Here is a 25,832-nt window from a genome sequence, read left to right as displayed (position 1 = left end):
CTGCAAAGGCAGACTGGTTCCCAGGCAAGAAGTGGGTCTTTTAGGGAAAGGGCTGTTATCAGTTTTGTTTCAGAGTCAAACCATCAGCTGAATTCCTTCCCAAAGTTAGTTTGGCCTAAGCCCAGGAATGAACAAGGACAGCTTAAAGGTTAGAAGCATTTTAGAACTTTAAAGAGGGCCGGGTGTGGTGGCTCACGCCTGTAATCCCAGCACTTTGGGAGGCCAAGGAGGGCTGGTCACCTGAGGTCGGGAGTTCAAGACCAGTCTGACCAACATGGTGAAACCCCGTCTCTACTAAAAATACAAAAATTATCTGGGCGTCGTGGTGCACGCCTGTAATCCCAGCTACTCCGGAGGCTGAGGCAGGAGAATCGCTTGAATCTGGGAGGTGGAGTTTGAGGTGAGCCGAGACTGTGCCATTGCAGTCTAACCTGGGTGACAAGAGCGAAACTGTCTCAAAAAAAAAAAAAAAAAAAATTAGGCCGGGCGTGGTGGTTGAAGCCTGTAATCCTAGCACTTTGGGAGGCTGAGGCGGGTGGATCACCTGAGGTCAGAAGTTCAAGACCAGCCTGGCCAACATGGTAAAACCCCGTCTCTACTAAAAATACAAAAATTAGGTGGGCACAGTGGGGGGTGCCTGTAATCCCAGCTACTAGGGAGGCTGAGGCAGGAGAATCGCTTGAACCTGGGAGGTGGAGGTTGCAGTGAGCCGAGATCGTGCCACTGCACTCCAGCCTGGGCGACAGAGTAAGACCTTGTCTCCAAAAAAAAAAAAAAAGGAGGTTTCAAACTCTGGCACCAGGCTCCAGAAACTGTACGCTTAATCACTGGGCTTATTTGGTGGGGGGGCGGCTATGATGTAGGTAGTACATGCATTAGAATTTGTGGCGACCACCCAAACCCGGGGTATCCATTTCCCTTTGGCCTGACCCTGGGGTCCCAGCTTATGGAACACAGAGCAGGTGTTTACTTCAGCAGGAGCTGAGCAGTCCCAACACCCCTCCTCCTCCTCCATTCTGAGCACCTCTCCTCCACCCTCCAGGACCTTTTCCGTGATCACTGGGGGAAGACAATGGAATGGCAGCTTAGGGACAAAGGGAGAGCTCAGTTACTAATGCCACTTCTGGGCAGGGTTCCTGCATTCCTTAGGGGGGAAGGGAGCAACCGCTGCTGGATTCCCCGTGGGTTCAAGGAGCTGGAGGACCCAGGAGCCTAAATCTCTGCTCAGATCCTCTGAGCTCTGAGTCTGGTTTTCCCAAAAAACTAGATGGTTTTCCTTAAAAAAAAAAAAAGTTACCAGACACAAGTCAGCCGTGCCCCCGGGAGCTGCCTTTGAAAAGAGGAACCTGGCCAGGAGCAGTGCCTCACATCTGTAATCCCAGCACTTTGAGAGGCCAAGGTGGGCAGACCACGAGGTCAGGAGTTCAAGACCAGCCTGCCCAACATGGTGAAACCCCGTCTCTACTAACAATACAAAAATTAGCCAGGCTTGGTGGTGTGCGGCTATAGTCCCAGCTACTCAGGTGGCTGAGGCAGGAGAATCGCTTGAACCCAGGAGACAGAGGTTGCGGTGAGCCGAGATCGCACCACTGCACTCTAGCCTGGGTGACACAGCGAGACTCCGTCTCAAAAAAAAAAAAAAAGAAAAAAGAAAAGAGGAGCCTGGTGGCCAAGGTGCTGTCTCAAGCTTTGTAATCCCAGCATTCTGGGAGGCTGAGGCAGAAGGATGGCTTGAGCCCAGGAATTCAAGATCCAGCCTGGAGCCGAACTCACACCTGTAATCCCAATACTCTGGGAGGCTAAGGCAGGCAGATCACCTGAACTCAGGAGTTTGAGACCAGCCTGGCCAACATGGTGAAACCTTGTCTCTATTAGAAATACAAAAAAAAAAATTAGCCAGGTGTGGTGGCGAGCACCTGTAGTCCCAGCTACTTGGGAGGCTAGGCATGAAAATTACTTGAACCCGGGAGGCGGAGGTTGCAGTGAGCCAAGATCACACCACTATACTCAAACCTGGGTGTCAGAGCAAGGCTCGGTCCTCACCCCCCACCCACCCACCCCCACATAAAAAAAAACAAAAACCCTGGGCAACATATCCAGACCCAGTCTCTACAAAACAAAAAAGTATAAATCAGCTGGGCACGGTGGTACATGCCTGTAGTCCCAGTTACTCAGGAGACTGAGGCAGGTGGATTGCTTGGGCCCAAGAGTTTGAGGCTGCAGAGAGCTATGATTGCACCACTGCACTCCAGCCTGAGGAACAGAGTGAGACCCTGTCTCAAAAAAAAAAAAAAAAAAAAAAAATGGAAAAGAAAAGAAAAAGAAAGAGGAACCTGGTGGACAATTGTTTATTTTTAAATTTTCTTTATTTAAAAAGTTTAATGACAAATAATAATTGTATCTATTTATGGGGTACAATCTGATATTTTGATATTTGTATGTATATCTTGTGGAATTATTTAAGAAGCTAATTAACATAGCCATCAACTCACCTACTTATCGTGTGTGTGTGTGTGTGTGTGTGTGTGTGTGTGTGTGTGTGTGGTAAGAGCATTTAAAATAAACTTTTTTTTTTCTTAATAGCGACGTCGCTATGTAAAATAAACTCTTTTTAGCAATTTTCAAATATGTGGGCCGGGCATGGTGGCTCATACCTGTAATCCCAGCACTTTGGGAGGCCGAGGCAGGTGGATCACCTGAGGTCAGGAGTTCAAGACCAGCCTGACCAACATGGTGAAACCCCCGTCTCTACTAAAAATCCAAAAATTAGCTGGGTGTAGTGGCGTGTACCTGTAATCCCAGCTACTCAGCAGGCTGAGGCGGGAGAATCGCTTGAACCTGCGAGGCGGAGGTTTCAGTGAACTGTGATCGGGCCACTGCACTTCAGCCTGGGTGACAGAGCGAGACTCTGTCTCAAAAAAAAAAAAAAGAAATATGTAATACATTATTTTGACCTATAGTTACAATAGATCACTAGAACTTATTCCTGCTAACTAAAACATGTGTCCTTTGACCAACTAACTCTCTTCAGTCTTCCCACTTCCCCAGCCCTGGTAACCATCATTCTACTCTCTAATTCCATGAGTTTAACCTTTTTATTTTACTTATTTATTTTTGAGATGTAGTCTTGCTCTCTCACCAGGCTGGAGTGCAGTGGCGTGATCATGGCTCACTGCAACCTCTGTCTCCCAGTTCAAGCAATTCTCATGCCTCAGCCTCCCAAGTAACTGGGATCACAGGTACGATAACACACCCAGCTAATTTTTTTTTTTTGTAATTTTCATAGAGACGGGGTTTCGCCATGTTGGCCAGGCTGGTCTCAAACTCCCGACCTCAAGTGATCCTCCCGCCTTGGCCTCGCGAAGTGCTGGGATTACAGGCGTGAGCCACCTCGCCCGACCAATTTGATCTTTTCAGATACCACAGTTAAGCGAAATCGCACAGTATTTGTCTCACTGTGCCTGGCTTATTTCACTTCGCACAATGTCCCCCAGGTTCGTCCGTGTGGTCAAAAATGACAGTATTTCCTTCTTCTTTAAGGCTGTATAGTATTCATCGTGTGTGTGTGTGTGTGTGTGTGTGTGTGTGTGTGTGTGTATATATATACACACATTTTCTTTATCCATTTATCCATTGATAGAGACCCCAAATAGCCAAAGCCATCTCAAGCAAAATGAACAAAGCTGGAGACATCACACTCTCTGATTCCACATTATATGGCAAAGCTGGTGGGCAAATTTTAACTGGAAGGTTTTGAATACCTCCTCTGGGTGGTCCTCCTTGATTTCTCTCCACTCAAAGCCAACTCTATTTTCATTTTTTTTTTTTTTTTGAGACGGACTCACTCTGTCTCCCAGGCTGGAATGCAGTGGCACGATCTCGGCTCACTGCAACCTCCACCTCCCTGATGCAGGCAATTCTCTGCCACAGCCTCCCAAGTAGCTGGGATTACAGGTGCCCACTACCACGCCCAGCTAATTTTTTGTATTTTTAGTACAGACAGGGTTTCACCATGTTGGTCAGGCTGGTCTTGAACTCCTGACCTCATGATCCACCTGACCCAGCCTCCCAAAGTGCTGGGATTACAAGTGTGAGCCACCATGCCCAGCCCACTTATTCTTTAATTCACATATTTATTCATTTAGCAAGCATATTCTAAGTTGATAGGTGCTGGAGATAAGCAATAAGACTTAGATGACCAAGTGCAGTGGCTCATGCCTATAATCCCAGCACATTGGGAAGTAGAGTCGGGAGGATTGCTTGAGCTCAGGAGTTCGAGACCAGACTGGGCAACATGGTGAAACCCTGTCTCTACTAAAAATACAAAAATTAGCCAGATGTGGTGGTGCACACCTGTAACCCAGCTACTCGGGAGACTGAGGTGGGAGGATCACTTGAGCCTGGGAGGTGGAGGTTGCAGTGAGCTATCGCACCAGTGCACTCCAGCCTGGCGACAGAGCAAGACTCCATCTAAAAAAAAAAAAAATTACCCAGGTGTAGTGGCGTGCACCTGTAATCCCAGCTACTTGGGAGGCTGAGGCAGAAGAATCGCTTGAATCCTCCTGAGTAGCTGGGATTACAGGTGCCCACCACCACACCCAGCTGATTTTTGTATTTTTAGTAGAGATGGGGTTTCTCCATGTTGGTCAGGTTGGTCTCGAACTCCCGACCTCAGGTGATCCACCCTCCTCGGCCTCCCAAAGTGCTGGGATTACAGGCATGAGCCACTGCGCCCAGCCTGAAAACTGTTGCTGAATGCAGTCACATCGGAAGTAAAGGCTTCAACTTGTGAATTTGAGGGGGATACAATTCAGAGCGTCACAGAGAGAGAACATGAGGCTGCTGTGGAATAGCAGAGACTACCGCTTGCAGCAGGACCAGAGGCGTGATTTGCAGGGTCCAGTGCAAAGTGAAAATGGGAGCCTCTTTGCTCAAAAATTATTACAAATTATAAGATATTTAATGTTTTATTTGCCAATCATCCTTCAATAAAGCTGGGGAGGGAGGAATGTAAGTATAGGCTGGGCGCTGTGGCTCACGCCTGTAATCTCAGCACTTTGTGAGGCCAAGGCTGGCGGATCACTTGAGATAGGGAGTTCGAGACCAGCCTGACCAACATGGTGAAACCCTGTCTCTACTAAAAAATACAAAAATTAGCTGGGCATGGTGGTGTGTGCCTGTAGTCCTAGCTACTCGGGAGGCTGAGGTACAAGAATCGCTTGAACCGGGAGGCGGAGTTTGCTGTGAGACAAGATGGCACCACTGCATTCCAGCCTGGGCAACACAATAGGACTTCCTTTCAAAAAAAAAAAAAAAAGTAATGGGTAAATTGCAAAAGTGATTGTGGCCCATGAAAGTCGCAGTGCAGCTCTGGGTCTGGGGAACATTCTAGGGAGACTTTTCCTGACACCCGCAGCTGAGCCTGGCAGCTGAAACTCCCGCTCCCCTCAATGCCCATGGAGCCCTGTCTTCCTGGGAGCCCAGACAGGCAGAACCAAGGGCCCAGGGAGCCAATCAGGGCCTGGGAATAGGCGAGGGGATCCTTCCCAGCCCCGCCCAGCCTCGCAGGGATTAGGCTGACTGGGCACATTTGATACCCGCCAGATCTTAGGCACCTGGCCGCCTGGAGCTGCTGGACATGTCTCTGGGCTTGGCTGGGGGGCTGGAACGAGGGCAAAGAGCAGCCCCCAAGTCTTCCTGAAGCCGTGAATGGCTGGCCTGTGGCAGGGTGCCCCTGGAGGCCGGCGGTGGGCCCTGGTGTTACTAATGCTGAGATACCTGCTGCCCACAGGTAAGGGGATCTCTTGCTCCTTCTGGTCCTCTGGGGAGGAGGGAAATGAGTCCACAATGTCCCAGCCCATCCTCAAATGGCCTTGCATGTCAACCCCACTCCTTCCTTCCTTTTTTTGACAGGATCTTGCTCTGTTGCCCAGGCTGGAGTATGGTGGCATGATCACGGCTCACAGCAGCCTAGACCTCCAAACTCAAGTGCTTCTCCCAATTCAGCCTCCCAAGTAGCTGGGACCACAGATGTGTGCCACCTAGCTCAGCTAATTGTTTTTAAATATTTTGCAGAGACGAGGTCTCCCTGTGTTGGCCAGGTTGGTCTAGAACTCCCAGGCACAAGTGATCCTCCCGCCTTGGCCTCCCAAAGTGCTGGGATTACAGGCATGAGCCACTGCACCCAGCTTCCACTTTGTCCCCCTTTCCAGCTTGAGTCCCTACCCAATTGTCACCTCTTCTGTGTTCCCAACCACCCTCTTCCTTTCCTTCTCCCCCTTTACTTTCTTTTTCTTTTTTTTTTTGAGACAGAGTTTTGGTCTTGTCGCCCAGGCTGGAGTGCAATGGCGCGATCTCAGCAATTCTCCTGCCTCAGCCTCCGGAGTAGCTGGGATTACGGGCGCTAATGTTTTTGTATTTTCAGTAGAGATGGGGCCTGCGGACTTGGTCTTTCTGAGCCTCACTTTTCCCCATCTGCAAAAAGGGCATCATGATAATGATAATAGCATCTTGCTTGAGGGGCCTGTTGGGGCGATGCAGCTCTTGCCTGGCACAGAGGAAGTTTCAATGAGCAAGTGACCTTTGCTTTTATGAAGTGGGACGGTCACAGATGGCTTGAGGGACACAGAAGGGATCCTCTCTGTGTGGCACCCAAGAGAAACCTTATTTTTCATGCAAGCCTGGGGTGGGGGACATGTAGGATTCACAATCCCACGGGGAGCTTAGAGATATTGGCTGATGGTCTGATGGCCCCGTTTTATGGAGGAGCAAACTGAGGTTCAAAGGGTTCAGGATTTTCCCAAGGTCCTGTAGCAGGAGACGTGGGGCCAGTTCCCAATCTCTTCTCTCTTTCTCTCTCTCTCTTTTTTTTTTTTAATAATTCTTATTTTATTTTATTTATTTTATTTATTTTTTTTCGAGACGGAGTTTTGCTCTTGTTGCCCAGGCGGGAGTGCAATGGTGCCATCTCGGCTCACTGTAACCTCCGCCTTCCTGATTCAAGCAATTCTCCTGCCTCAGCTTCCCTAGTAGCTGGGATTACAGGCGTGTGCCACCACGCCCAGCTAATTTTGTATTTTTAGTAGAGATGGGTTTTCACTATGTTGGTCAGGCTGGTTTCAAACTCCTGATCTCAGGTGATCCGCCTGCCTCAGCCTGCCAAAGTGTTGGGATTACAGGCGTAAGCCACCACACCTGGCCAAGAATTTTTTTTTTTTTTTTTTTTGGTGGTGGTGGTTGTTTTTGAGACAGAGTGGAGTGCAGTGGCTCGAACTCGGCTCACTGCAAGCTCTGCCTCCCGGGTTCACGCCATTCTCCTGCCTCAGCCTCCCAAGTAGCTGGGACTACAGGCGCCCGCCGTCATGCCCGGCTAATTTGTTTTTGTATTTTTTAGTAGAGACGGGGTTTCACCATGTTAGCCAGGATGGTCTTGATCTCCTGATCTCATGATCTGCCCACCTCAGCCTCCCAAAATGCTGGGATTACAGGCATGAGCCACTGCGCCCAGCCCAAGAATTTTTATAAAAATAGAGAAAGGAGGCTGGGCGCGGTGGCTCATGCCTGTAATCCCAGCACTTTGGAAGGCTGAGGTGGGCGGATCACCTGAGGTCAGGAGTTCGAGACCAGCCTGGCCAACATGGTGAAACCCCGTCTCTAAAAATACAAAAATTAGCTGGGTGTGGTGGCAGGCGCCTGTAATCCCAGCTACTCAGGAAGCAGAGGCAAGAGAATCGCTTGAACCCAGGAGGCGGAGGTTGCATTGAGCCGAGATCATGCCATCGCACCCCAGCCTGGGGGACAGGAGCAAGACTTCGTCTCCAAAAAAATAAAAAATAAAAATAAATAAAAGTAGAGAAAAAGGGTCTCCCTATGTTGCCCAAGCTGGTCCTGAACTCCTGGACTCAAGCAATCCTCCTGCTTCATCTTCCCAAAGTGCTGGGATTACAGGCATGAGCCATCGCACCCGACCCCAGTCTCTCTTCTTTAACTGGCTCATGTTTCTCCTACCTCTCCTGGGAGGATCATGTAGTCAGTGAATGGGCATTTGTACATTGAGCCCCTGCTATGTGCCCCTGCAGGCTTTGAGGACTTACAGGACACTGGAGAAAAAGTAGACAAGACACTCAGAGGGAGCGATGAGGGATTTGGAGGTTGCATTAGTTTTCTGAGGCTGATATAACCAAGTACCATAGACTGGAGGCCTCAACAACAGAAATGTATCATCTCTCCGTTCTGCAGGCCGGAAGTTGGAGATGAAGGTGTCTGCAGGTTACCATGGTGGTTACCAGAGGCTGGGAAGGGTGTTGAGGAAGATGGATGAGGAGAGGTGGTAAAAAGATACATAATTACAGTTAGATGGGAGGAAAAAATTCAAGACATCTATTGTATAGCAGGGTGACGATAGTTAATGACAGTTTATTGTAGTCTTGAAAAATGCAGGCCGGGCTAGGTGGCTTATGCCTGTAATCCCGGCACTTTGGGAGGCCGAGATGGGCAGATCACCTGAGGTCAGGAGTTCGAGACCAGCCTGGCCAACATGGTGAAACCTCATCTGTATTAAAAATACAAAAAAAAAAATTAGCCAGGTGTGGTGGCTCACGCCTATAGTCCCAGCTACTTGGGTTGCTGAGGCACAATAATCGCTTGAACCTGGGAGGTGGAGGTTGCAATGAGCCAAGATCACGCCACTGCACTCCAGCCTGGGCAACAGAGTGAGACTTGATCTCAAAAAAGAGAAGGGAGAGAGAGAGAGAGAGAGAGGGAGAGGAAAGAAAGGAAGAAAAGAAAAGAAAAATGCAAAGAGAGGCCAGGCGCAGTGGCTCTTGCCTGTAATCCCAGTACTTTGGGATGCCGAGGTGGGAGAATTGCTTGAGCCCAGGAGTTCAGGACGAGCCTGGGCAACATTGTGAGACCCCCATCTCTGCAAAAAAATTTTTTTTTAATTAGCCAGGCCTGCAGTCCCAACATTTTGGGAGGCCAAGATGGGAGGATCACTTGAGCTCAGTAGTTTGAGAACAGCCTGGGCAATACAGCAAAACCTTCTCTACTAAAAATAAAATAAAAATTAGCCAGGCATGATGTTACGTGCCTGTAGTCCCAGCTACTCAGGAGGCTGAGGTCGGAGGATCATTTGGGTCCAGGAGGTTGAGGCTACAGTGAGGTATGATTGTTCGGCTGCACTCCAGCTTGGGCAACAGATTGAGACTCTGTCTCAAAGCAAAAAAAAAAAAAAAAAAAAAAAGGACAGAAAGAAAGTAAAGGCAGACAGCCAGGCACGGTGACTCACGCCTGTAATTCCACACTTTGGGAGGCCAAGGCAGGCGGATCACTTTAGCTCAAGAGTTCAAGACTAGCCTGGCCAACATGGCGAAACCCTGTCTCTACAAAAAATACAAAAATTAGCCAGGTGTGGTGGTGCACCCTTGTAGTCCCAGCTACTCAGGAGGCTGCGGTGGGAGGGTGACTTGAGCCCAGGAAGCAGAGGTTGCAGTGAGCTGAGATCATGCCACTGCACTCCAGCCTGGGTGACAGAGCCAGATCCTGTCTCTAAAAAATTTAAAAAACTAAAAAGGAATTAGCCCAGTGCCTGCCACATGGCCAACAGGATATGTTAGCTTTTATTGTAAAGGTAGGCCTCATTTCATTGTTACTAAGATAGGAGCTTGGCATGGTGCTGGCCCAGTGAGTCTCAGCTATCCTAAAAGCAAGGTGGTTATTACTATTAACTAAAATTGTTTGATCTGGGCTAGGATCTGTATTAAGCTCTTTGTCACCATTAGTCCTAGCAATGACTCTCCAAAATAGATGCTGTCAGACGTAACCCTAATTTACTAGAGAGGAAACAGGCAGAATTTGAGTGGCCTATCCAGGACCACACAGGATTTGAACCCAGGACTAATGATAGAGCCCACTGTGTTTCTCTAAAATTATAGCAACAGGCCAGGCGCCGTGGCTCACACCTGTAATCCCAGCGCTTTGGGAGGCCGAGGCGGGCAGATCAACTCAGGTTGGGAGTTCGAGACCAGCCTGGCCAACATGGCGAAACCCTATCTCTACTAAAAATACAAAAAAATTAGCTGGGTGTGGTGGTCAGTGCCTGTAATCCGAGCTCCTCGGGAGGCTGAAGCACGAGAATCACTTGAATCCACGAGGCAGAGGTTGGAGTGAGCGGAGATTTCCATCACTGCACTCCAGCTTGGGGCAACAGAGTGAGACTGTGTCTCTAAGTAAATAAATAAGAGCAACCAACTAGGGCCTCTCTGGCTTCCTGAAATTCAGGCTGGCTGGGCAGATTTAAAAAATGTAGGACGTGCTGATGTTGTGGAAATACAACTAAATGCAAGAATCTTCTCTCAACTCAGGAAACCTCTCCACAAAAGTAGAAGGGAAAGGAAAAAAATACCCCTTAATGTTATCACTGAATAAGCATTCATCCAGAGTGTGGTGCACGTCGTAGATAAGGCCTAGGACATTGCAAAGGCAGAAAGAAATCTTGCCCTTTTTCATTTATTTTATTTATTTATTTTTTTGAGACAGAGTCTCGCTCTGTCGCCCAAACTGGAGTGCAGTTCAGTGATCTCAGCTCACTGTAAGGTCCGCCTCCTGGGCTCAAGCGATTCTCCTGCCTCAGCCTCTTGAGTAGCTAGGATTACAGGCAAGAGACACCATACCCAGCTAATGTTTTGTTTTGTTTTTGAGAGAGTCTTGCTCAGTCGCCCAGGCTGGAGTGCAGTGGCACAATCTCGGCTCACTGCAAGTTCTGCCTCCCGGGTTCATGCCATTCTCAGGCCTCAGCCTCCCGAGTAGCTGGGACTACAGGCGCCCACCACCACGCCCGGCTAATTTTTTTGTATTTTTAGTAGAGATGGGGTTTCACCGTGTTAGCCAGGATGGTCTCGATCTCCTGACCTTGTGATCCACCCATCTCAGCCTCCCAAAGTGCTGGGATTACAGGCATGCGCCACTGCACCCGGCCTTGTTTTGTTTTTGAGACGGAGTCTCGCTTTGTCGCCCAGGCTGGATTGTAGTGGTGTGAACTTGGCTCACTGCAACCTTCCCCTCCCCGGTTCAAATGATCCTTCCACCTCAGCCTCCGGAGTAGCTGGGATTACAGGCGCCCGCCACCATGTCTGGCTAATTTTTTTTGGGATTACAGGCGCCCGCCACCATGTCTGGCTAATTTTTTTATTTTTAGTAGAGACGGGGTTTTGCCATGTTGGCCAGGCTGATCTCAAACTCCTGAACTCAAGCGATCCACCCACCTTGGCCTTCCAATATGCTGGGATTACAGGCATTTGAGCCACCATGCCCAGCCCTCATTTTTGTATTTTTAGTAGAAATGGGGTCTTACCATGGCTGGTCTCAGACTCCTAGCCTCAAGTGATCCGCCTGCCTCATCCTCCCTAAGTGCTGGGATTACAGATATGAGCCACCGTGTCCAGCCTGCCTCTCACCCTCTTTCTTTTTCTTTTTTTTTTTTTGAGACAGAGTCTTGCTCTGTCGCCCAGGCTGGAGTGCAGTGACGCAATCTCGGCTCACTGCAACCTCCGCCTCCCAGGTTCACACCATTCTCCTGCCTCAGCCTCCCGAGTAGCTGGGACTACAGGCGCCCACCATCTCACCCGGCTAATTTTTTGTATATTTAGTAGAGACGGGGTTTCAACGTGTTGCCAGGATGGTCTCGAGCTCCTGACCTTGTGATCTGCCCACCTCGGCCTCCCAAAGTGCTGGGATTACAGACATGAGCCATCGTGTCCAGCCTACATCTCACCCTTTTTCTATAGCCAAGCAGATAAACCTGTCACCTTCATGCCTCATGATAAATAATCATTAGTTCTCCAGTAACAGAACTTGACAGCACCGTTTATCAAACGCATAGTTCATCCTGGAGCCACCTAGTCATTGTGACGACGGTGTGAGCTAATTGGCTTTATCCAGGGGAAAAACACATCTTTCATCATGACAGGAGGGAGTTTTGCAATTTGGAGCAAGGCATCCACTGAAGTTATATTTTGACCCTTCCCCGAAACCAGAATACAGGAAGAATTAAGCCTCTTGTTTCTCGTTTTTCTTTGTCTTTACACAGACTAGTCCAGGATATAAAGTCAAAGGGGAGGTGCTTAAATATACAGCAGAGGGGAAAGAGTTGGGGTAATCTGCCTTGTTGTTGTCATTCAGGGGCAGCAAAGACATCATAGAATTAGATCTTGCAGGACAGGGGTGATAAACATCCTAGAGGGAGGACAGCTGGGACGTGACGCTTTTACCAACCCCACCCCTGGAGTGCTTGTAAAATGGCCACCCCATCCCTGCTGTGCTCCTAGAATCCTGTCCTACTGGGGATAAAACCCAAACCAGCCTAGGCAACATAGCAAGACCATGCCCCTACAAACAATACAAATATTAACGGCTGGGCACGGTGGCTCATGCCTGTAATCCCAGCACTTTGGGAGGCCGAGGCGGGCGGATCACCTGAGGTCAGGAGTTCGAGACCAGCCTGGCCAACATGGTGAAACCCCGTCTCTACTAAAAATACAAAAAATTAGCCAGGCATGGTGGCAGGCGCCTGTAATCCCAGCTACTCGGGAAGCGGAGGCAAGAGAATCGCTTGAACCCGGGAGGCGGAGGTTGCAGTGAGCCGAGATCACGCCATTGCACTCCAGCATGGACAACAAGAGCAAAACTCCATCTCCAAAAAAAAAAAAAATTAAAGCCTGGCACGGTGGTTCACACCTGTAATCCCAGCACTTTGGGAGGCTGAGGCGGGTGGACCACCTGAGGTCGAGAGTTCAAGACCAGCCTGACCAACAAGGAGAAACCCCGTCTCTACTAAAAATACAAAATTAGCTGGGCATGGTGGCACATGCCTGTAATCCCAGCTACTCAGGAGGCTGAGGCAGGAGAATCGCTTGAACCTGAGAGACGGAGGTTGCAGTGAGCCGAGATCGCATCGTTGCACTCCAGCCTGGGCAACAAGAGCAAAACTCTGTCTCAAAAAAAAAAAAAAAATTAGCCAGGCGTGATGGCACATGCCTGTAATCCCAGCTACTTGAGAGGCTGAGGCGGGAGGATGGCTTGACCCGGGAGGTGAAGATAGGCAGTGAGCTGAAACTGCACCACTGCACTCCAGCCCGGGAAACAGAGCCAGAACCTATCTCAAAAAAGAAACAACGAAACCCAAACTCCCCCTGTGGCCTGAAATCATCATATCCTGCTCTGTTGCCTCTTGTCTCTTCCTTCCTGCTACTCTGACCTCTGCTGCTTCCAAATCTTTTTAAGTGGTTTGGACCACAGGGCCTTTGCACTTGCTTTTTACTCTGTCTGGGTGTTCTCTCTGCAGCTCTTCTGAAGGTTGGTTCCTTCTCATCCTTCCAGGGATGACCAGGAAAATAATACTGGAAATAACCTGATGTAGAATCTTTAGAGCATTTAAATATCTGAATTACCTTGTTTGTGTAGTTATCATGTGTGCCGCACCAGACTGTATGTTTTTCATGAGAGTGGCAAGCTGCAAGGTGGTGAAGAGCACCCATCATTGTGGGTTCAAATCCCAGCTCAGCCATACGACTTGGGGGCCTCTCTGAACCTCTGTATCCTCCTCTATAAAATGGGAGATGTAGAAGGGTTTTTATTTATTTATTTATTTATTTATTTATTTATTTATTTATTTATTTCTGAGGCAGGGTCTTGCTGTGTCACCCAGGCTGGAATGCAGTGGCAAGGTGATCTCAGCTCACTGAAGCCTCAACCTCCTGGGTTCAAGCAATGCTCTCACCTCAGCCACCCAAGTAGCTGGAACCATAGAGGTGCATCACTATGCCTGACTAATTTTTTGATTTTTTTTTTCTTGCAGAGATAGGGTCTTGCTACATTGCTCAGCCTGGCCTCAAACTCTTGGGTTCAAGCGATTCTCCTGCCTCAGCCTCTCAAAGTGTTGGGGTTACAGGCGTGAGCCACCACATCAGGTTTGAAATGTTTCTAGAAGGACTAAATAAACAACTCCTAGAATACGTAGTGGGTACAGAATAGGGGCTATGTGTCTCCCAAAGTACTGGGATTACAGGCATGGGATACCATGTCTGGCCAGCAAACACTTAAATAGTCCCTATTCTGCGCCCACTACGTATTCTAGAAGTAGCAGCAGATAGAAGAGAGAGATGGAGCTGGGCATAGTGGCTCATGCCTGTAATCCCACCACTTTGGGAAGCCGAGGCAGGAGGATCACTTGAGGCCAGGAGTTCGAGACCAGCCGGGAAAACACAGTGAAATCATGTCTCTATCAAAAAATACAAAAATTAGCCAGGCATGATGGTGCACGCCTGTAATCCCAGCCAAAGTCCCAGCACTTTGAGAGCCTGAGGCGAGAGAATCGCTTGAGCCCAGGAGCTCGAGGCCAGCCTGGGCAATGCAGCAAGACCCTACCTCTACAAGAAAAAAAAATCAAAACTAGCCCTGGCAACATAGCTAGACCCCATCTCTACAAAAATTAAAGAACTAGCTAGGCATAGTGGCACACACCTGTGGTCTCAGCTACTCAGGAGGCTGAGGCAGAAAGATAGCTTCAGCCTGGGAGGTTGCGGCTGCAGTGAGCCGTGATCTGCCACTGCACTCCAGCCTGGGCAACAGTGTAAGACTCTGTCTTGCAATAAATAAATAAATAAATTGCTGTTTTTATTGTTATAGTAGTAATAGTAATAATAGGGCCGGGCGCGATGGCTCACACCTGTAATCACAGCACTTTGGGAGGCTGAGGCAGGTGGATCACGAGGTCAGGAGTTCGAGACCAGCCTGGCCAACATGGTGAAACCCCATCTGTACTAAAAATACAAAAATTAGTTGGGCATGGTGGGGCACGCCTGTAATCCCAGCTACTCGGGAGGCCGAGGCAGAAGAATTGCTTGAACCCGGGAGGTGGAGGTTGCAGTGAGCCGACATCACGCCATTGCACTCCGGTCTGGGTGACAGAGAGAGACTCCGTCTCAAAATAAATAAATAAATAAATAAATAAATAAATAATACCATAATCCTTAGCTTTTAGCACAGAATTCAGCCTCTATTAGATCACTAGATATTTATTGCATGGACAGACAGATAGATGGATGGCAAATTTTTGAGCAAAGAAAGGTAGTGTAAAGCCGCTTCCAAGCTTTGGGCATGACTTAGATCAAAACCAGAGAGGCTGGGCCAGGTGCAGGAGCTCATGCCTGTAATCCCAGCATTTTGGGAGACCGAGGTGGGCGGACCACCTGAGGTCAGTAGTTCGAGACCAGCCTGGCCATCATGGTGAAACGCCATCGCTACTTTAAAAAATAAATAAATAAAAATAAAAAAATAGCCTGGCATCATGGCGCGTGCCCGTAATCCCAGCTACCTGGGAGGCTGAGGCAGAAGAATCACTTGAGTCTGGGAGGCAGAGGTCGCAGTGAGCTGAGATCGGGCCACTACACTCCAGCCTGGGTGACAGAGCAAGCCTCCATCTCAAAAAAAAAAAAGAAAAAGAGAAAGAAAAAGAAAATCAGAGAGGCTGGCTGGGGATGGGGAAGCCGGGAGGGAGCTGTTCTGCCCACTTCGTCTCAGTTTATACTTCCAGCCTCCACATCTCCCGACTTCAGAACTCAAAAGTCAGATAAAACCGAGAAATGCTATTAGTAAACACAGTTGTGTTTGTCTGTGAGGAGTTACAATGTTGAAAATTGAGTTTAATTTTAAACCATCCTGGGTGACTTAGCTCTCAGCGCTGCCCCCTGGGGAGGGTGCAGTCCTTGGCTCAAAGCCAGAGAATTACCATAGTAAAGCCTGTATTTGTCCCAACTGACAGTTTTGATCCCCTTCCTTGTTTTTTTTTTTTTTTTTTGCTTGTTTGTTTGTTTGAGACTCACTCTGTCACCCAGGCTGGAGGGCAATGGCACGATCTCGGCTCACTGCCACCTAACTCTCGGGTTCAAGCAATTCTTCTGTTTCAGCCTCCTGAGTAGCTCGGACTACAGCCTCCCACCACCACACCTGGCTAATTTTTGTATTTTTAGTATAGATGGGGTTTCACCATATTGGTCTGGTTGATCTCCAACTCCTGACTTCAGATGATCCGCCCGCCTCGGCCTCCCAAAGTGCTGGGATTACAGGCGTGAGCCACCGCGCCAGGCCTCCCCTCCAATTTTTGAAGGAGGAAAAAAAAAGAAACGTTCCCTGCCAGGCATGCTCCCACCCTCATCCCCCAGCCCTCCACACTGTTTTATTGTTTGCCCCTAGGGCTGCCTCTGTGGTTTCGCAGGAGGAAAAGGACCCGAGGCGTCCTCTGCACGCTGAGCCTAGTGACAGATCCTGTTTGGTTAGGATTAAGGAGGGTGAGGACTGCTGAGCTCAAGTCTCAGCAAGGCCTGCCAGGAAGGCATTTATACACTGCAGGCCTGGGGCGCCTCAGGGTTCCAGGGTTAGTGGAGGTGGAAACAGAGAAGCTTGAGAGTAAATAGAGGGAGTTTGTAATCCCTCTCCCACTTCCCCGCCCTGGTTTCATCCCTCTCCCACCTCCCCGCCCTGGTTTCATCCCTCTCCCACCTCCCCGTCCTGGTTTCATCCCCCTCCCTCTCCCGCCCTGGTTGGGTGGAAGGGATGAGAAGCGGCAGACAGAAGAGAGAGAAGGAACTGGGGGCAGTGGCTCACACCTGTAATCCCAGCACTTTGGGAGGCGGAGGCGGGAGGATCACTTGCACCCAGGAGTTCGATACCAGCTTGGAAAACAGTGAAACCCCATCTCCATCAAAAAAAAGAACAAAACAAAAATTATCCAGGTGCGTGCCTATAATCGCAGCTACTTGAGAAGCTGAGGCAGAAGAATTGCTTGAACTCGGGAGGCAGCCGTTGCAGTGAGCCAAGGTCATGCCATTAGCCTCCAGACTGGGCAACAGAGTGAGACTCCAACTCAACAACCACCACCACAACAACAAAAAAGGAGACAGATGGAGAGAGAATCAGATGAGGGAAGAGTGAGGAGAAAGGGGAGAGAGACAAAGGAAGTGAGGAGGAGAAAGAAGGAAGAGGGAGGGGACTGTGAAGGGAAAGTAAATTTCGGGGTCCCCAGATTGTGTCCGGAATTGGTTCCTTCCGGTGGGTTCTTGGTCTTGCTGACTTCAAGAATGAAACCGCAGACCGTTGCAGTGAGTGTTACAGTTCTTAAAGATGGTGTGTCCCGAGTTCGTTCCTTCAGATGTTCAGATGTGTCCGGAGTTTCTTCCTTCCAGTGGGTTCCTGGTCTGGCTGACTTCAGGAGTGAAGCTGTAGACCTTCACAGTGAGTGTTAACAGCTCATAAAAGTAGTGTGGGCTCAAAGAGTGAGCAGCAGGAAGATTTATTATGAAGAACAAAAGAACAAAACTTCCACAATGTGGAAGGGGACATGAGCAGGTTGGCACTGCTGGTTCAGATGGCCAGCTTTTATTACCTTATTTGGCCCCAACCACTTCCTGCTGATTGGTCCATTTTACAGATCGCTGATTGGTCCATTTTACAGAGGGCTGATTGGTCCGTTTTTACAGAGCGCGGATAGGTATGTTTTTACAGAGGGCTGATTGGTGCGTTTACAAACCTTTAGCTAGACACAGAGCGCTGATTGGTGTGTTTTTACAGAGTCCTGATTGGTGCATTTACAAACCTTTAGCTAGACACAGAATGCTGATTGGTGCGTTTACAATCCTTTAGCTAAATAGAAAAGTTCTCCAAGTCCCCACCTGACCCAGAAGCCCAGCGGGCTTCACCTCTCAAAATCATTAAGCTAGAGCGAAAAGTCAAGCTGGGAACTGCTCAGGGCCAACCTGCCTCTCATTCTATTCAGAGTCCCTCCTGTGCTCACTTAGATACATTCATATCTGATTGGCTCCTTTGGAGAGGCTCATCAGAAACTCAAAAGAAGGCAACCTTTTGTCTCTTTATCTACCTATGACCTGGTTTTTGTTTTGAGATGGGATCTCATTGTGTCACCCGGGCTGGAGTGCAATGGCACAAATACAGCTCACTGCAGCCTCCACCTCCTAGGCTCAAGCGATCTTCCCATCTCAGCCTCCCGAGTAGCTGGAACTACAGGTGCACATCACCATGCTTGGCTAATACAAATTAAAAAAAAAAAATTAAGTTCCTCACCCATAGTACATAGCATTATGGCTACAACTGTGGTAGCCCCAGTAGCTGCATTGCAAGAGCTCACTAGCTGTGCATGGCTAGTGAATGATGTAAAACACACCCAAGGCTTAGGAAATGTCCAACGGTCCATTAAACAGTGACACTCTCTAGCGAGACTTCCAGGAGCTGCTTAGCCAATTAGTAGCTCCACGACGACCTTAGGCAGATTATTGTACTTCTCCTTACCTCTCTCAGGTTCCTCATCTGTGAAATGAGCTTAATAATAGTACTATCAAAATGTTGTTGTGAGGGCCTGGTGCAGTAGATAATGCCTGTAATCCCAGCACTTTGGGAGGCCAAGGCAGGTAGATCACTTGAGGTCAGGAGTTCGAGACCAGCCTGGCCAATATGGTGAAACCCCATCGCTACTAAAAATGCAAAAACGAGCTGGGCACGGTGCCAGGTGCCTGTAATCTCAGCACGTTGGGAGGTCGAGGCGGGCAGATCACTTGAGATCAGGAGTTTGAGACCAGCCTGGCCAACATGGTGAAACCCTGTCTCTACTTAAAACACAAAAACTAGCTGGGCATGGTAGTGCACTCCTGTAGTCCCAGCTACTCAGGGGGCTGAGGTAGGAGAATCGCTTGAACTCAGGAGTTAGTGGTTGCAGTGAACCAAGATCGCACCACTGTACTCCAGCCTGGGTGACAGAGTGAGACCCCGTTTGAAAAAAAAAAAAGTTGTTGTGAGAATTCTATGATTTAATATATTAAGAGTTTTTGGAAAGATGCCTGACATGGTAAATCCTTACTATCATTATACTAAGTTGTTAATATTTATATCATGTTATTAATATTATTATGTATTGTAAGTATATATGTGTGTGTGTATATATATATATAAATATATATATATATTTTTTTTTGAGACAGAGTCTCACTTTGTCGCCAAAGCTGGAGTGCAGTGGCACAATCTCGGCTCACTGCAACCTCCACCTACTGGGTTCAAGTAATTCTCTGCCTCAGCCTCCTGGGTAGCTGGGATTACAGGCACCTGCCACCATGTCCGGCTAATTTTTGTATTTTTAGTACAGATGGGGTTTCACCATCTTGGCCAGACGGGTCTTGAACTCCTAACCTCGTGATCCACCCACCTTGGCCTCCCAAGGTGCTGTGATTACAGGCGTAAGCCACCTCGCCCGACTTATTTATTTATTTATTTATTTCTGAGACAGCATCTCACTCTATTGCCCAGGCTGGATTACAGTGGTGCTATCTCTGCTCACTGCAACCTCTGCTTCCTGAGTTCAACTGATTCTCCTGCCTCAGCCTCCCGAGTAGTTGGCGCCTGCCACAACGCCCGGCTAATTTTTGTATTTTTAGTAGAGACAGGGGTTTCAACATGTTGTCCAGGCTGGCCTCGAACTCCTGACCTCAGGTGATCTGCTCACCTCGGCCTCCCAAGTGCTGGGATTACAGGCGTGAGCCACTGCACCTGGCTAAATGTCCCATTAGCTTTAATCCTCATTCAGTACAATTATGTGCTGTATAACAACATTTCAGTCAATGACAGACTGCATATATGACAGTGGTCCCAAGAGATTGTAATACTGTATTTTTACTGTCCTTTCTCTATGTTTAAATACATGTAGATACACAAACGCTTATCATTGGCCTGGTGCAGTGGCTCATATCCATAATCCCAGGACTTTGGGAGGCCAAGGTGAGAGGATCACTTGAGCCCAGGACTTCAAGACTAGCCTGGGCAACATAGTGAGACCCATCTCTAGTTGTAAATATATTTTAAGTTAAAATATAAATTTTAAGGCTGGGCGCAGTGGCTCACACCTATAATCCTAGCAATTTGGGAGGCTGAGGCGGGTGGATCACCTGAGATCAGGAGTTCGAGACCAGCCTGGCCAACGTGGTGAAACGCCATCTCTACTAAAAGTACAAAATTAGCCGGGTGAGGTGCCAGGTGCCTGTAATCCCAGCTACTGGGGAGACTGAGGCAGGAGAATCACTTGAACCTGGGGGCAGCAGTTGCAGTGAGCTGAGATTGTGCCACTTCACTGCAGCCTGGGCGAAAGAGCAAAACTCCATCTGGAAAAAAAAAATATATATATTTATATATATATATATATATATATATATATATATATATATATATATATATATGTAAAATCTAGAGGTCATACCCTACAGCCTGGGTGTGTAGTTGCTATACCATGTAGGTTTGTATAAGTACACTCTATGGTATTTGCACAATGACAAAATTGCCTAGTGATGCATTTCTCAGGATATATCCCCGTTGCTGAGTGAGGCATGACTTGTACCTAGAAGGTACACATTTTTTCAGTCCATGCTATATCTGGGCAAACTGAAGTTCAGAGAGGTTTTGTCAGTCCCCAAAGGTCAATAGCATTGAAGAGGTGAAACTGGGAGGTGATCTGGGCTTGTGAGATTCCAATGCCCACGCCTGTCCACTGGATCATGAGCTCTCTTGAGGCAGAAGCCTGTGCAAGGGTCCTGGGGTAGACATCACAGGGTGTGTCTGGCATGTGATGCATTGGTCAGTTTTGCTGGAATGCAGGGTATGTGGAAGGGAGGGGTGTGGTGGAGACAGATGAGAAATAAAGTCAGAAATAAAGTAGAAGCTAGTCAGACATTGAGCAGCAACCTGTGGATTTGCAGCTCCATTTAAGGAACTACAGAGTGCTCTAAAAAGCATCTAATCTGAGACAGCCTGCCCCTTAGCTCCTGCTGGTGAAAACAGCAGTTCACATCTAGGGAGCAAGAACGATTGTGCTGGCCAGGTGCACTGGCTTACTTCTGTAATCCTAGCCCTTTGGGAGGCCGAGGTGGGCGGATCACTTGAGGTCAGGAGTTGGAGACCAGCCCGGGAAACATGGCAAAACCCTGTCTCTACTAAAAAAACAAAAATTAGCCGGGCGTGGTGGTGGGTGTCTGTAATCCCAGCTACTTGGGAGGCTGAGGCAGGAGAAACACTTGAACCCGGGAGGCAGAGGTGGCAGAGAGCCGAGATCGTACCACTGCACTCCAGCCTGGGGGGTAAAGCGAGACTCCGTAACAAACAAACAAACAAACAAACAAACAAACAAACAGATTGTGCCGAGACCCATGCCTGTGGTCCATCTCACAGAGTCCTTACAAGAACCTTTTTCTTTTTTTTTTGAGACAGAGTCTAGCTCTTTCACCCAAGCTGGAGTGCAGTGGCACGATCTCAGCTCCCTGCAACCTCCACCTCCCGGGTTCAAGGAATTCTCCTGCCTCAGCTTCCCAAGTAGCTGGGATTACAGGCACGCACCACCACGCCTGGCTATTTTTTGCATTTTTTTAGTAGAGATGGGGTTTTGCCATGTTGGCCAGGCTGGTCTCTGACTCCTGACCTCAGATGATCCGATCCACCTGCTTTGGCCTCTCAAAGTGTTGGGATTTCAGGCGTGAGCCACCACGCCAGGCCAATAACTCTTTTGTTTTTATTTTTGAGACAGAGTCTCTCTCTTAGCCAGGCTGGAGTGTAGTGGCACGATCTTGGCTCACTGCAACCTCCTCCTCCTGGGTTCCAGCGATTCTCGTGCCTTAACCTCCCAAGGAGCTGAGACTATGGGCACGCACCACCATGCCCAGCTAATTTTTTTTTTTTTTGAGATGGAATCTCACTCTGTCACCCAGGCTGGAGGGCAGTGGCGTGATCTCGGCTCACTGCAAACTCCACCTCCCGGGTTCAAGCAATTCTCCTGCCTCAGCCTCCCGAGTAGCTGGGATTACAGGCGCCCGCCAACACGTCCAACTAATTTTTGTATTTTTAGTAGAGATGGGATTTCACCGTGTTGGCCAGGCTGGTCCCAAACACCTGATCTTGTGATCTGCCTGCCTTGGCCTCCCAAAGTGCTGGGATTACAGGCGTGAGCCACTGTGCCCTGCCACCTGGCTAATTTTTTTTTTTTTTTTGAGATGGAGTTTCGCTCTTGTTGCCCAGCCTGGAGTGCAATGGCGCGATCTCGGCTCACTGCAACCTCCACCTCCCGGGTTCAAGTGATTCTCCTGTCTCAGTCTCCCAAGTAGCTGGGATTACAGGCGAGTGCCACCACGCCCGGCTAATTTTTGTATTTATAGTAGAATCAGGGTTTCATCATTTTGGTCAGGCTGGTCTCGAATTCATGACCTCAGGTGACCTGCCCACCTTGGCCTCCCAAAGTGCTGGGATTATAAGCATGAGCCACTGTGCCCGGCACTAATTTTTATACTTTTAGTAGAAATTGGGGTCTCACCATGTTGCCCAGGTGGGTCTCAAACTCCTGGCCTCAAGCAATCCTCCCATCTCAGCCTCCCAAAGTGCTGGGATTATAGGTGTGAGCCACCTTGCCTGACCCAGTTGTGTTTGTTTCTTTTTTCTTTTTGAGACAGAGTCTCACTCTGTCCTCCAGGCTGGAGTGCAGTGGTGTGATCTCAGCTCATACAACCTCTGCATCCTGGGTTCAAACGACTCTCTTGCCTCAGCCTCCCTAGTAGCTGGGATTACAAGCACATACCACCATGCCTGGCTAATTTTTCTTTTTTTTTTGAGACGAAGTCTTGTTCTGTCACCAGGCTGGAGTGCAAGTGGTGTGATCTCGGCTCACTGCAACCTCCGCCTCCTGGGTTCAAGCCATTCTCCTGCCTCAGCCTCCCACGTAGCTGGGACTACAGGCGCGCCACCACACCCAGCTAATTTTTGTATTTTTAGGAGAGACAGGGTTTCACCATGTTGGCCAGGATTGTCTCCATCTCTTGAGCTCGTGACCTCGTGATCTACCTGCCTCGGCCCCAAAAAGTGCTGGGATTACAGGCACGAGCCACCAAGCCTGGCCTAATTTTTTGTATTTTTAGTAGAGATAGGGTTTCACCGTGTTGGCCAGGCTGGTCTCAAACTCCTCACCTCAAGTTATCTGCCCGCCTTGGCCTCTGAAAGTCTTGGGATTACAGGTGTTGAGCCATTGTGCCTGGCCACAGACCTGGCTTTTATACTTTTCTTTTTCTTTTTTTTTGAGACGGAGTTTCACTCTGTTGCCCAGGCTGGAGTGCAGTGGCATGATCTCGGCTCACTGCAACCTCTGCCTCCTGGGTTCAAGTGATTCTCCTGCCCCAGCCTCCCGAGTAGCTGGGATTACAGGTGCACACCACCACACCTGGCTAATTTTTTTTTTGGTAGAGATAGGGTTTCACCATGTTGGCCAGGCTGGTCTCGAACTCCTGACCTTAAGTGATCAGCCCACCTCGGCCTCCCAAAGTGCTGGATTACAGGCATGAGCCATCGCATCTGGACTGACTTTTATATTTTTTATAAGAAGTCCGTGATCTTTTCCTCCTTACAAAAATTCAATAACCATTCATTCAATCGTTCATTCAATAAATATTTATTGATGATCTATAATATGGTAAGGAGAGACTAAGAGGTTAATATAAGAGGAAATACAACTATGGTTAGTAATAATCACATTAAGCATTGTTATTATTGGTCGTATTTAGATAAGAATTGATTACAACAGCTCGTTCCACCGTTAATTTGATATTTACACTATGACATCACAAATGGAGAGCTTTACATGAATAATCCCATTTAATCCTCTTAACAGATCTGTGAGATCAGATCGTCTTTTTTTCTTTTTAATAATTTTTGTTGTTTGCTACATGACATTGTGGGATACATGCAGATGGTGCAATGGTTACTACAATGAAGCAGTCATGTATCACTTTCTATTTGTATATGTTTTGTAGTTGAGGAAACTGAGGCTTGGAGAGATTAAGCAACTTGCTCAAGGAAATATAGCTGTGGGTGATAGAGGTGGGGCTTGGGGGTTTGATCCAGGGGTGGGGTGGTCCACACCCTTCATCCACCAGTAGCTTGAGGGTGGTTTTTCAACGGAAGGAGACAGGAGTGAGGAGAACATCTGGGAGTGGCTAAGGTGGAGAGAAAAATCTGAGATGAGAGAGAGAGGGCCAGGCGCAGTGGCTCTCACCTGTAACCCTAGCACTTTTGGAGGCAGAGGTGGGAAGAGTACTTGAGTCCAGGAGTCCAGGAGCTCAAGACCAGCCTGGGCAACATGGGAAAACCCCATTTCTACTAAAAATACAAAACATTAGCTAGGCATGGTTGTACGTGCCTATAGTCTTAGCTACTTGGGAGGCTGAGCTGGGAGGATCCCTTGAGCCCAGAAGTTCAAGAGCAGCCTGGGCAACATGGCAAAACAAGGAAGAAAGAAAGAGAGAAAGAGAGAGAAAAAGAGGGAGGGAGGGAGGCAGGGAGGAAGGAAGGAAGGAAGGAGAAAGAGAAAAAGAAAGAGAAGGAAGGACGGAAAAGAAGGAAGGAAGCAGAAAGGGAGAAAGAAAGAGAAGGAAGGAAGATGAAAGAAAGAGAAAGAAAGAAGGAAGGGAGGGAGGAAGGAAGGAATGAAGGAAGGAAGGGCCAGGCGTGGTGGCTCATGCCTGCAATCCCAGCACTTTGGGAGGCCGAGGAGGATGAATCACCTGAGGTCAGGAGTTTGAGACCAGCCTGACCAACATGGTGAAACCCCGTCTCTACTAAAAATACAACAAATTAGCCGGGCATGGTGGCGGGCACCTGCAATCCCAGCTACTCAGGAGGCTGAGGCACGAGAATCGCTTGAACCCAGGAGGCGGAGGTTGCAGTGAGCCAAGATCGCGCCGTTGCACTCCAGCCTAGGTGACAGAGCGAGACTATGTATCAAAAAAAAAAAAAGAAAAAGAAAAAAAAAAAACAGGAAGGAAGGAAAGAAGGAAGGAAGGAGAGAAAGAAAAAAGGAGAAAAAGCTTTGAGCAGAAGCTCTTTTCCATCATGTTTTCATCCCACAAACATTACTGAGCACCTACAATGTCAAGAGAGGTAGTGGGTGTCAGGGTTCAGGGGTGAGGTAGCACAGTCTTTGAAGAGGTGACATCTGAGCAGAGGACTTAATGAAGTGAGGATGGAACTATTTAGGTATTTGGGTAGGTGGAAGGATGTTCCAGGAAATGCAAGGGACTTGAGGCAGGAGTGAGTTTGAGAAACAGCAAGTAAACCAGAGCAGCTGAAACAGAGTGAACGAGGTGGGAGAGAAGGAATCTGGGGAGGGACATAAGGGCAGGGACAAACCAATAGGTCCTTGGAGGGAATTTAGTTTTGACTCTGACATATATGCAGAACCATGGAAAGACATTAAGCTCTGGTCTATCATTTTCTTTTTCTTTTTTTTTGGACAGGGTCTTGCTCTGTGCCCCAGGCTGCAGTGCAGTGGCTGATCACAGCTCACTGCAACCTCAACCTCCTGGGCTCAAGTGATCCTCCTGCCTCAGTTTCCCAAGTACCTGGGACTACAGGTGTGCACTACCATACCTGGCTCATTTTTTATTTTATTTTATTTTTGAGATGGAGTCTTGCTCTGTTGCCCAGGCTAGAGTTCAATGGCATGATCTCAGCTCACTGCAACCTCCACCTCTTGGGTTTAAGTGATTTTCCTGCCTCAGCCTCCTGAGTAGCTGGGATTACAGGCACCCGTCATCATGCCCAGCTAATTTTTGTATTTTTGTAGAGACAAAGTTTCACCATGGTGGCCAGGCTGGTCTTGAACTCCTGAACTCAGGTGATCTGCCTGCCTCTGCTTCCCATAGTGCTAGGATTATAGGCATGAGCCACTGCGCCTGGCCTATTTTAATTTTTTT

General features: G+C 48.4%; 1 protein-coding gene across 1 annotated transcript in view, besides 4 other annotated features; it reads left to right on the top strand.

Annotated features, from left to right (window-relative positions):
* Positions 109-1,042: an enhancer, noted in NCBI's record as "OCT4-NANOG-H3K27ac hESC enhancer chr19:9180985-9181918 (GRCh37/hg19 assembly coordinates)". NCBI's record gives its function as "activates a minimal SCP1, AML or CMV promoter by ChIP-STARR-seq in naive H9 embryonic stem cells {active_cell/tissue: H9 hESC(naive)}" and the evidence as "EXISTENCE:reporter gene assay evidence [ECO:0000049][PMID:30033119]".
* Positions 1,043-1,977: an enhancer, noted in NCBI's record as "OCT4-NANOG-H3K27ac hESC enhancer chr19:9180050-9180984 (GRCh37/hg19 assembly coordinates)". NCBI's record gives its function as "activates a minimal SCP1, AML or CMV promoter by ChIP-STARR-seq in naive H9 embryonic stem cells {active_cell/tissue: H9 hESC(naive)}" and the evidence as "EXISTENCE:reporter gene assay evidence [ECO:0000049][PMID:30033119]".
* MUC16 (mucin 16, cell surface associated) overlaps positions 5,600-25,832 on the top strand; it is a gene marked incomplete in the record, with an annotated part of 216,908 nt that continues 196,675 nt past the window's right edge. Inside the window, 1 exon segment of the mRNA NM_001414686.1 lies at positions 5,600-5,791. Coding sequence (NP_001401615.1) covers positions 5,710-5,791 — 82 coding nt within the window.
* Positions 16,107-16,786: an enhancer, noted in NCBI's record as "NANOG-H3K27ac hESC enhancer chr19:9165241-9165920 (GRCh37/hg19 assembly coordinates)". NCBI's record gives its function as "activates a minimal SCP1, AML or CMV promoter by ChIP-STARR-seq in primed H9 embryonic stem cells {active_cell/tissue: H9 hESC(primed)}" and the evidence as "EXISTENCE:reporter gene assay evidence [ECO:0000049][PMID:30033119]".
* Positions 20,889-21,388: an enhancer, noted in NCBI's record as "H3K4me1 hESC enhancer chr19:9160639-9161138 (GRCh37/hg19 assembly coordinates)". NCBI's record gives its function as "activates a minimal SCP1, AML or CMV promoter by ChIP-STARR-seq in naive H9 embryonic stem cells {active_cell/tissue: H9 hESC(naive)}" and the evidence as "EXISTENCE:reporter gene assay evidence [ECO:0000049][PMID:30033119]".

This window comes from Homo sapiens, chromosome 19 (genome assembly GCF_000001405.40).
Source record: "Homo sapiens chromosome 19, GRCh38.p14 Primary Assembly".
In the NCBI taxonomy this organism is placed as follows: Eukaryota; Metazoa; Chordata; class Mammalia; order Primates; family Hominidae; genus Homo; species Homo sapiens.
Note: the sequence above shows the minus strand (reverse complement) of the source record. Positions and strands in the feature narration are given on the sequence as shown.